This window comes from Homo sapiens, chromosome 12, assembly GCF_000001405.40.
Source record: "Homo sapiens chromosome 12, GRCh38.p14 Primary Assembly".
Taxonomy (NCBI): Eukaryota; Metazoa; Chordata; class Mammalia; order Primates; family Hominidae; genus Homo; species Homo sapiens.
Genome location: NC_000012.12, coordinates 68,619,475 through 68,631,905, shown reverse-complemented (window position 1 = coordinate 68,631,905; position 12,431 = coordinate 68,619,475). Strand labels below are relative to the sequence as shown.

Sequence of the window (12,431 nt, the reverse complement as noted above, 5' to 3'; positions counted from 1 at the left end):
GGTGGAATATGTTCTGACAGGAATTTGCTTCTTATTTCATATTCTGAAAGATGGACAAAACATACCTGCTCTCAAAAAGCTTACAATTTTGTAGGAAAAGATGGAGACATAAAAATATGAAAAATATCATGAGATGTACAAAATACTATGGGAGTTCAGAAGGAGAGATCAGATTTATGAAGAGGGTGGCAAAAAAAAAAGTTACAATATTTCAACAGGAAAGAACATACCAGGGATAAGAAAAGTGAGAGCAAAGGCACAAAAGGCAGCATAACATGGGAACATTAATTAGACTATAGCGGAAAAAGCAGTCTGACTGGCTCACAGGGCACAAAGGAATAGGAAAATAAAAATAGCAGTAATCTTCAGTTAAGATTAAGGAGATCTCTGAGTATCAGTGAAGAGCTCTGACTCATTTAATAAGCAACAACAATAGACATTTTGAAGATAAACATGAATACTGAGAAAACTAAAGATACTTTTAAATTAACGAAAGAAGTTCTAACAGTAGAAGGCTGAACAATACATCTAGGCATGGTAAGCATTTCATTAAAATATGAGTAATATGTGGTAATTTTTTGGCGAAAAACAAAAAATGAGGTCAGAAATAGCATACCAAATGGAAGAAACTGCAAGAAAGTGACATAAGGATAGTTAAGAAACTGGTAATTTCAGCTTTATTCAATATTATATGGATATTAAGTATCTGCTATGTGCAGCCAGGGTAGGTATCATATGCAAACATTTTTGCTTCCCTATTTTTTATAACAGGATATTAATTTTGATACCATGGCATCTAATATCTAAGGCACATTGAAGTTACATTTAGTTATACCACTATCACAGAACATAGCACTTAGGGTATTTGCCTACAACCTCACATGTATTAACAAATAAAGCAGATGTATGGGGCAGACTCCATTTTTCCCTCAAAAAAGTACTTCGAATCTGCCAAAGTACATGAAAAAAAAAACAAATTCAGGCTGGATGCGGTGGTTGACACCTGTAATCCTTGGGCAACAAGGCGAAACCCCACCCCTACAAAAAAATACACAAAATTAGCCAGGCGTGGTGGCCTGCGCCTGTAGTTCCACCTACCCGGGAGGATGGGAGGTGAAAGGATCACCTGAGCCTGGGGAGGTTGAGGTTGCAGTGAGCTGTGACAGCGCCACTTCACTCTAGCCTGGGTGACAGAGTGAGAACCTGCCTTGAAAAAAACAAAAAAACAAAAACAAAAAAGACCCCAAAACCAAAAAAGCAAAAAGCCCCAAAACCATACTCAGTTAAGGGTTAAATACCTCATGACCTGGGGCCTACGTGTAATGATTATTGCTATATAATCAAAACTTAACACAGTGCCTGGAATATGGAAGACACCTAATTATTTGTTGAATGAATCAAAACCAGTTTCTTGCCCTAGAGGGGAGGTTGGCCAACTAGAACTCCCAGGCCAAATCCCATTTGCTCCCTGTTTTTTTGTTTTTGTTTTTTTTGGTAAATAAAATTTTGTTGGAACACAGTCACACTCATAAAGTTTTAATGGAACATAGTTCATTTGTTGTGTCTTGTCCACAGCTGGCTTCAGGCTACAATAGCAGAGGTGAATGGTTGTGATAAGAGACTGTATGGTTAACAAGGCTTAAAATAGTTATCAGGTCCTTTACAGAAAAAGTTTGCCAACACTTGCACTATAGGCTAGAGCCTGGAAGAGACAAGGATAGACCTTGCCCATTAACTCACAGGTGGCAAATGGGTTTCAGCTTAGTCATCAACTCAAAATATTAACAGCTACCTGTAGCTAAGTGCAGTGTTGAGAATGATTTTTGAGATCAACTAGGACTCAAAGGGAAAGAATCTAGTTCTCAATTACCAATGGCTACTGTGGTTTAAGTGAAGGAGAGACAGGGTTGTATTAATGATTCCAAAAACATTTGAAAATTTCTGCTGTAGAATATTTTAAACATCTAGCACTGTTGTCTGATGGTTTTACAAAAATGAATTAATTAGTTGCAAAATATATGCCAAACAACCCCCTCAAAACAAATCAAAACACCTATAAAGAATTACTGAGAATGATCGTGCTGAATGCTGAAGTCTGTCTACCAAAACCAACGATTTCTGGCATAGATAGCTATCATATTTATAACATTCATTCAATACCTCTATGTGACAGGTACATTATTCACTTAGTTAACAGATTGAGTTGTTTAAGATCATTCATGAGGATGATAAAACAGTATATATAAAGGGAACCTACAGCAAGAAGGTAAGCCCCCAGTACATATAAAAACTTTAAGATTTATAGATAAAATTGAAAAGGACAGCTTGGGTAAAATATATTTCACATTTAAAATGAAAATCTAATCTGTTAATTTTGTGCATTTAGATTCTTCAAGTGGTTAAAATACACACGGTCTAACATCAAAGTATTCATGCCACTGAGGTTCTGAAGTTTCTCTTCAGATTATTTTAGAAAAATCCTTTGTTAACCAATAAATATATTTCTAATCTGAACACTGACATGTCTGTATGGTGCTTTTAAAGCTCTTACCATGTCCTTCCATATATTAAATTTCAATCTTCAGAGCAACAATGAAAATAAGGTACTGTCTTTAGATAAAGGATTTGGCTGGGCACAAGGGCTCACGCCTGTAATCCTAGCACTTTGAGAGGCTGGGGTAGGTAGATGGCTTGAGCTCAGGAGTTCGATACCAGACTGGGAAACATTGTGAAACCTTGTCTCTACAAAAAATTACCTGGGCATGGTGGTGCATGCCTGTGGCCCTAGCTACTCAGGAGGCTGAGGTGAGTTGTGACTGCACCACTGCACTCCAGCCTGGGCAACAGAGTGAGACTTGTCTCAAAATAGACAGAGACAGACAGACAGACAGATAGAAGATAAATAAATAAATAAAAAGAGATAAAGGATTTGTGATTCAGATTACTTACCTGAGGTTGCAGAACCACAAGACTGTAGATTTAGGATTAGAATCCAGACTAGTGCTGTCCAATAGAGCTTCCTGTAATGATAGTGTTCTATCTGGACTGTCCAGTATAGTAGCCACTAGCCACAGATGACTATCAAGGACTTAAAATGTGGTTAGTGTAACTGTAAAACTAAAATTTTGATTTTATTTAATTTCAATTAAAACTCTTTCTACACTTTTGGATTTTTGCTTATGAAACTACTGAACAAGGCATCCAGAGCTTCAATATTCATGAAAAGCTTGGATCTACCAAAAGTGACACCATCAGGGCCTCTTTATTTCTGGAAAAGCAGTTTGCCCCAGTCTCATTCTTGTACTTTTCTCTCACAAGGATACCACTCATTTTCTTCACATAAATATCCCTTTGAAAAGTTTTTGCTAAATTTTCTAAAATCACGCATTGGACAAGGTTTCCTGTTGGAAGTTATACAAATCACATTTACATATAAAAATAAGTCATTAAAAAATACCAAGCAACTTACAAAATTACTGTGGAAAACTAGAGAATGAAGTTGGAAGCTAACATAGCCACAAACACCCGAAACCGTATTACAAAACTGGCCAGGTGAGGAAACTGCTGTCACATCACTAACAGTAGATGCTTCAGTTTGTATCAGTTGTTTCTGCAGCAGAAAACTGATTTGTGGTGTACATCAACCAAGAGGAGAAGAGAAATCTATCAGAAATTTATCATCTCTTCCATCTCAAGTTAAAGTACATGTAATTTTGTGGGGCCTAGGTCAAGTACTTGTGCCCTAGCTGCAAGGGAGGCTGGAAAAGCTAGTATCTGGCATCTTCATTTCCTTCTTTTTAAGAGACAGGGTCTCATTCTGTTACCCAGGCTAGAGTGCAGAGGTGCAATCATAGCTCACTACAGCCTCAACTCCTGGGCTCAAGCGATCTACCCACCTCAACATCCTGAGTAACTGGACTATAGGCGTGTGCTGCATGCCTGATTAAATTTTTTTTTTTAAATTTTTTGCAGATACAGGGTCTTGCTATGTTGCCCAGGCTGGTCTCAAACTCCTGGCCTCAAAAGTGATCCTCCTGCCTTGGCCTCCCAAAGTGTTGGGATTTCAGGAATGAGTCACCACTGTCTGGCCCATTTTCATTTTCTATAAAGCAAGGCTATCTACCAAAACTTAGGTCTGTTTTTTCAGTATACTGGGGAGTCTCTCTAAAGATAAATTAACATACCCTGTACATCTATCTATATGATAAAAGACGCTTTTAGTTAGGTATTATGTTTCTGTTAGATGTAGTTTGGCTGGTATGGGTCACATTCCAGCATGACGTGAAGTAAGGAGCTACACATGGGGTATTTCGAAAAGTGGGTAAAACAAAAGTCACGCTGGGAATAACGAGAGGTGAAGTTTCAAGGTCAGGTCAAATTTAAATGTGAAGGCCCAGAAGCCCGGGAGACCTAATCAATTTTAAAGTAGTGGTTGGCTACCAAACCATTTATACTCCTAACACTATTATTAGTAAAATCTCTCATTCTAGTAGGGATTGGGTATATTTGTGTGTTTTAAAAAACACCCTGCTGCAGCCTATTAAGCCAACTGAGTTCCTTTCCTCATGGGGGGGCCCAGTGTGCAATGGCTGCAAACAGCAGCTTCCTTGGTAGTGTATGCAGCCTGTGTGTTGTATTGTATGGGTTGCTCTAAGGGACCCTGGAGACAGTCCTTTCAGATGGATGTTCATGTTTCTGACCTTGCACTACCCCAGTGTAGGTTCCAAACAGGCATGCGAGGTGCCTTTGGGAAGCCCCAGGGCACTGTGGCCAGGGTTCACACTGGCCAAGTTATCATCTCCATTCACACCAAGCTGCAGAACAAGGAGCATGTGATTGAGGCCCTGCGCAGGGCCAAGTTCAAGTTTTCTGGCCGCCAGAAGATCCACATCTCAAAGAAGTGGGGCTTCACCAAGTTCAATGCCAATGAGTTTGAAGACATGGTGACTGAGAAGCGGCTCATCCCAGATGGCTGTCGGGTCAAGTACATTTCCAATCGTGGCCCTGTGGACAAGTGGCGGGCCCTGCACTCATGAGGGCTTCCACTGTGCTGCCCCCTCTTAATACTCACCAATAAATTCTACTTCCTGTCCACCCAAAACAAACAAACAAACAAACAACAAAAAAAAAACACCCTGGAAAATTCTGATACTACCTTCCCTCTTCCTTAAGACCTTTACCCGAGACCAGAAATATTAGGGGCTGTCTACTAGGACCATTTTATTCATCTTTTTGCCTATAAAATAAATTTCCCCAATTTAATACAGAAAAGGGTGTCTGCTATTCCTCAGATCTCCAGAAATCAGATTATTAATACTTTAAATAAGCTACTCAAATGCCTTAACTTCCACAAGTCACAGATTAAAAATGAGACACTACCTCCAAAGGGATGACTGAGACTGGGGGGAAAGAGGTTATCCAAGATGGTTCTCTATGTCCAAAATTTAAAGATACCATCAAAAACGCCCTATAATATTTGCTGAACAGGTTGCAAAGTAACTACAACCACCACAGAAATATCCCTATTAGTTAGGGAAAATAACTACTTTCACATATTTCAAGCAAATACTATACTACATGCAGTTTATAAGCTGTTGGGTTAGAGGTATAAGAAATTGGAAGTGAGGAACTTTAGTGTTAGTAGATAAATCAAGGTAAGAACTCCAGAACAAAGCATACCCATTTTCATGAATGGAAGAATGCCATAAATATCTTCTCAATATAAATGCTTAAGTGGGGTGGTGCTTTTGCAAACCACCACCCTCCACAAGGATGGGTGAAGCTTTTTTAAAACATGATTTTACAGTCTGTTTCAACACAAGGCCGAATATAGAAATAAACAGAATTAGTGTCTTCCATGAGAGGAGAAACAAATGGCTCAGAAAAATATTTTATTTCATTTTGCTGTTAACCTCATAACCAGGATCAGGTGACAAGCTTAATATGACCACTCCTGAATACACCTGAAACTTTTTTTTTTTTTTTGAGACAGAGTCTCGCTCTATCGCCAGACTGGAGTGCAGCGGCACGATCTTGGCTCACTGCAACATCTGCCTCCTGGATTCAAGCAATTCTCTTGCCTCAGCCTCCCGAGTAGCTAGGACTACAGGTGCGCGCCACCACGCTCGGCTAATTTTTGTATTTTTAGTAGAGACGGGGAGGTTTCACCATGCTGGCCAGGATGGTATCGATCTCTCGACCTCATGATCCACCCGCCTCGGCCTCCCAAAGTGTTGGGATTACAGGCATGAGCCCCACACCCAGCCTCATCTGAAACTTTAAAAAAGAATGCCTTGATTTTAGATTGTGGGTTCGTAATCTGCATGATTATATTATACATTCAAAATGAAACTTAAGGACCAGAATATTCCTAATGGAAAATTCCCCAGTAAACCTGCCAGAAGTTCAGAGGAGAAAAATTAACCAAGTAACAAAACATAGTGGGAGCATAGGTACTTCCTGTAATTTTCTCTAATAATAATTTTAGTATCTCAACCTAAGCATTTATACTACCTGCTTACGCACGCACTGGCTTATGCAGCTAATTGTGTTATAAAGTTGTTTTTGACTAATTTAACAGTTCTTCCTTTTATAATCTACCCTCTTGAGTTTATTCAAAGATCCATTTAATATTCCATAAAATAAAGACCACTCAGAAAAATGAAAGGCACACCACACTTCACTGAAAGACATAAATAATGCTTACATTGGGCTTTCACATATGAATAAACACTTAATTACTTACTTGCATAATTACTAGGCCAGCAAGTACTTAAAGTAGCTCCAAAAAATGCCTATCATGGCAATTCTACAAGTGATAAGACGGTATCCAAAAAACATCACATGCATTATGTGTGCATCGTTGAACATTAGTATATACACCAAACAAATGGATAAAGGCAATGAGAACCAAAGTCTGGGTGGTTAACTAGGCTGTTAGAATAACCAGAGCATCTGAAGAACACATGGAAAGTGGGCAGTCACTTCCTGTAACCAATTCTGAGTTTCTAAGTAGCCTCTTCAGATACTTACTTCAATCCTTGTCACTATCAAATGGTTCCATCGAGGAGCTTTTGTTGTTGTTGTTGTTTGAGACGGAGTCTCACTCTGTCGCCTAGGCTGGAGTGCAGTGGCACGATCTCAGCTCACTGCAAGTTCTGCCTGCCAGGTTCCAGCGATTCTCCTGCTCAGCCTCCCGAGTAGCTGGGACTACAGGAACACACCACCATGCCTGGCTAATTTTCATATTTTTAGTAAAGATGGGGTTTCACCATGTTGGCCAGACTGGTCTCGAACTTCTGGCCTCAAGTGATCCGCCCGCCCTGGCCTCCCAAAGTGCTCTGCCTGCCTTGGCCTCCCAAAGTGCTGGGATTACAGACGTGAGCCACCGTGTCTGGTCTGAGGATTTTTAAATGAGGATTACATTAGTCCTATTTATAATATTCCTATTCTAATCTATTGTATTCTTACAATTAAATGTATCAAATAATTCTTAAAAACATTATTAGGAAACAAACTGCCTAATACCTTATAAGACTAAAAAAATCACCAAGATGAAACTGTAGTTATGAGCTCTCAATATTTAAACATTTAAAAAAATGTTAGTGTTTGTTAGGCACCAATCTTAACTATTTCCAAATTTAACTGGACTCTGCAATTATAGAATGAGGTGATTCTCCCATACCCTAAAGACTCATCACCCTCAGCACTGCATTCCATCCTGAGTCAGGGTCAAACAATTCCTTGGCAAAGAGGGTTTCTAAAGCTAATTGCTTCAAAGTAACATTTTCAGACCCTGGTATCTTCTCCAAACAGTAATGAATAAAGCCTTTTTAACTCATTTGAAACCAATTTCTTCTCTCTCTCTTTTTTTTTTTTTTTCCCTGAGATAGAGTCTCACTCTGTCGCCCAGGCTGGAATGCCATGGCGCAATCTCGGCTCACTGCAACCTCCGCCTCCTGGGTTCAAGCGATTCTCCCGCCTCAGCCTCCTGAGTAGCTGGGACTACTGGCGTGCGCCACCATGCCCGGCTAAGTTTTTGTATTTTTAGTAGAGATGGGTTTCACCGTGTTAGCCAGGATGGTCTCGATCTCCTGACCTCGTGATCCACCCACCTTGGCCTTCCAAAGTGCTGGGATTACAGGCGTGAGCCACTACACCCAGCCTGAAACCGACTTCTTATAGAAATTCTGAAATCCTAAAATCTCTGAAAACTCAAAGTTCTATAACTATGTTGGTGGCAAAGCTTAATCCTAATATATAATGGCAAAACTTCACCTGAGCACTGATGGGAGACTATTTTTATCTTTTATTTCTCTCACTTAATGTGACTATCCATGTTCCACATTAATATTGTGTTTGATTACTCTTACCAAAATCTAAAACAAATCTTTCCTCAAAATTCTGAAATCCAAAAATACCTGGCACCAAAGGTTATATATAGATAAGGGATTATGGCCCTATAATCAATTTTACAAACATCTACCAGGGCAAAACACTCTTGAATTTACTTCAATTTCTGTAGTTCTGTAGTACTGCTCACTGTAATTCACTGTTAATCTAAAACTCCTTTAATATGCAGATTCTACCTTATTTTTACTGTCTTTTCTAACTACTAGATCCTAAGGGTTTCACTTCTTCCTTTGACTCTAATAAGCACTCATTTATATCACTCATTTGGATATTCTGAACTGCTAACAGTTTTATACTGGTTAACTTTTCATGTCTTTGCTAAAAACCTTTTGTGCAAAATTACTCAATTTAATCCTAACATATAGTAACTAAGAACAATTAGCTTTCAATAACATGCAATCAGATCAAATAGTCCTCAAGAGACAGATGACCTAAATAAAAAATGAGGAATTATAGTTGGACATAGATATAAAACTTTAAAAATTAGTTTAAGGCTGGGTGTGGTGGCTCACGCCTGTAAATCCCAGCACTTTGGGAGTCTGAGGCAGGAAGATCCTTGAGCCCAGTAGTTCCAGACTAGCCTGGGCAAGATTATGAGACCAGGCCACTACCAAAAGAGTGAAGAAAAAAACCAGTTTAAGGAGTAGCTTATTATGGGAATTGATATGGACAAACCGTTACATACTTTATGTATTTTTCTAACTAAAATAATTCTCTTGAGCACTAGGCAGTTATTGGGCTAACCATTTGAGATAGTGGTGGAAAAGTAACATGATCTTCCTGTCCTGAAACAGTTTAGAGGGGATGAGAGGCAAACAAATGGATAAATATAATTATTGATTATGATTAAGAACTACAGAGGTAATGAAGAGGAATGCTCCTTTATATAAGGTGATCAGGAAAAAACTCTGTAAATGTGACATCTGAACTGAGATCCACTGTTGAGACTGAGGCAGAATTGCAGAGGGCTGGCAAAAGATTGTCACAGAAAGAAGTACAGCTGGCTAGAGCTTAGTGAGTAATGGGGATAAAGTTGTGAAGTAAGCAAGAACTGGATTATGCAGTACCTTCTAGGCCTTGATAAGGAACTGGTTCTTAAGGGTAAATTGGGACCGGAGGGTATTACATGATCTGATTTACATTTTTAAAAAGGTCACTTTGTATTCTGGGTAGAAAATAATGTGGGGAAGGACAAAAATGAAAACAAGTTAGGAAGCTCCTGTGAGTCCAGACAAGAGATGACTGTGGCTTAAACAAGGGTGGTATTACAGAAACACAGCATTTGAAAGCCCGAAAAGACCTTAACAGCCATTTAGTCCAACTTTCTCTACATAAAGATAAGGTCCTAAGAGAGGAGTTAACTTGTTCAAAGTTTCATGACCAGTGCCAGAAACTAAACTGAAGCCTGTCACCTAGGTCAATGTTACCACCACTAAACCATGCTTTTTAAGACAACAGAGTACAATAAAAGGTCTAACTACTTAAAACAAATACCTGAGTTCTCAGATTTGATTTCACACCCAATGGAATGAGCTAAAAAAACATATGAGGACAATGAAATAAAGGTCTAATTTGAGTACCTGAAGGTCCAGAGAAAAGTACACAAGGGACTGCTGGGAAGCAGAACTAGTCAAAGGCTCTCCAGTCAAACTGCTTAGTGATGAAATTTTAAGACTATAATCTCTAACTCAAATATAATGCCAGTTTATCCTCTACATAGGACCTTCTGATGGGTAAGATGTATCAACCACTAAAGCATCACAAGTGTTTTTCAATGTTGAGTTTATCATTCCTGTTGACCAGAACTGTGAAGTGAATTGCTTTTAACAGTAGTCCTGCACTTAACAAGAACCTCTTAATCACCATCCTCACTCTCTTTTCTGCTCTACTTCCTGCCCTTTCACCTCTTCATTGCCTATTATCACCATCATTAACCATCATCACTTTCATCTAAACAGAGAAATGTTATAAATGCTTTTTCTGTCCTTAAAAGCTTGCAAACCTAGTCTTAATTCTTTTTTGCTGAAGGATGATTAAGTTGAGAGCTCCTGGAAGAAAAAAACACAAGTATAAACAAGCTAAAATAGAAGGATTTAATGCAATATTTTCAACTAGCAACTAAAACTCTATAAATAATAGTCAGTGACAACCTTGTGACTAATTTGGATGTCCTGGACATAAAATACGATCTCAGTATGTTCCCTAATTCAGAATTGCTAGAACAGCAGACCAGTTAATTATTTAATATAGGGAGCACTAAAGCTTCCTGTTAAATTCCCTTGCTCTCTATGGGATTAGCACATGCAGGCAGGAGTTCTATAATGCTTAATCCCTGAAGCTACCCTGAAGTTAGCATTTTCACATGTATTCCTTCCCTAAACCTTTTTCTTCCTCTGGTGTCAACTTTGTTCTTTGCAACACTGGTGTTCAGACTGAATTATCTTTTCTCTCCATTTTAATCTCTCTAGGGAAATAACTGGCACTAAATTTCCAAGAAACTGTGCACAATACAAACTGTAACTTAACTATCTTTCTTAACACTCTCCTAATCTGAAACTGATTACTCGATCCAAACACAGTCTAAAAATCCTTTAAAATGTGGAACCAGACCGGTGCGGTGGCTCACTCCTGTAATCCCAGCACTTTGGAGGACTGAGGTGGAAGAACCGATTAGGCCAAGGAGTTTGACACCAGCCTGGGCAACATGGCAAAACCCTGTCTCTACAAAAGTTAGTTGGGTGTGGTGGCATGCGCCTGTAGTCCCAGCTACTTGGGACGCTGAGATGCATCAACTGAGCCCGGGAGGTCGAGACTTCAGTGAGTCGTGGTTGTGACACTGCACTCAAGCCTAGATGACAGTGAGACCTTGTCTCAAAAAAAAAAAAAAGAAAAGGAAAATAAAATTTGGACTTATCCCATGAGTTTATAAAAACAGTTTAACAAGGATTGCTACAAATGTTTTTAAATTAACATAAAAAAGAAGGCCACAGAGTGGCTCTACCCAGCACTTTGGGAGGCCGAGGTGGGCGGATCACCTGAGGTCAGGAGTTCGGGACCAGCCTGGCCAATATGGTGAAACCCTGTCTCTACTAAAACTACAAAAATTAGCCAGGCATGGTGGTGGTGCCTGCAATCCCAGCTACTTGGGAGGCTGAGGCAAGAGAATCGCTTGAACCTGGGAGGAGGAGGTTACAATGAGCTGAGATTGCACCATTGCATTCCACAGTCCATCCTGGGTGACAATAGAGAGACTCAGTCTTAAAAAAAATAAAAATAAAAATAAAAAAAAATAAAAAAATAAAAAAACCACCACCACCAAGAAACAGCATTCTCCTGAAAGGTAAAAAAAGGATCATTCTACAGGTGTGTTTTTGAAAAGTGTCTACTTAAGGTAAGACAACACACCAAATTCTCAGGTCAAAAAGACATTACTAAACTTGAAACTTACAGCTTTACTATGGAAAAGTTATCAAATATTTTAAAACTGAGAAAGTCAACTACTAAAAATCTACTTAAGGATTATGTTAGACTTTGGACACAAGGGAATTCTGTCTATAGATGAGCAGTCAGGTATACAAAACAAATATTAAAACCAAAAATAGGCTTAAAAATAACTATTATCTAATCCATTACCAAGACCAAAAGTTGAATGGAATGCACAGAGAAGACTACAAAGAAGTTAAACTGATTATATATTAATAGGAGATTTTAAGATAAAGCACATGAAAACATTGCTTCACATTTATCTATGGCTCCCATTCCTGTTTCCAACAAAAATATAAACAAAATAAATCAAAGAAGACATTAAACACTGAGAGCAAAGCATGGAAAAATAAGTAATACAAAATACATTAGACAGTTGGGAATATTTTAATAGCATTTTCAGATAAATCTGGATACTGGTCTTTGACACTACACCAAAGCTCAGCAATTGGTTGCAATATGGAACAGGATACCTTATTGATAAACTTTTATGTTCTCTATAACATTAAAATCCATTGGTCTAGCTGACACTTTGT

The 12,431-nt window shown here is 38.7% G+C and overlaps 1 protein-coding gene, 1 non-coding gene and 1 pseudogene across 7 annotated transcripts in view; 2 read left to right on the top strand and 1 right to left on the bottom strand.

Moving 5' to 3' along the window:
* Positions 1–12,431, bottom strand: part of RAP1B (RAP1B, member of RAS oncogene family) — a 61,003-nt gene that overhangs the window by 39,996 nt on the left and 8,576 nt on the right. The gene's annotated exons all lie outside the window — the stretch shown is intronic.
* SNORA70G (small nucleolar RNA, H/ACA box 70G) lies at positions 4,531–4,672 on the top strand. Its single transcript, NR_033335.1, has one exon. It is a non-coding gene; the product is annotated as a small nucleolar RNA, H/ACA box 70G (small nucleolar RNA).
* On the top strand, positions 4,719–5,096 carry RPL10P12 (ribosomal protein L10 pseudogene 12; annotated as a pseudogene).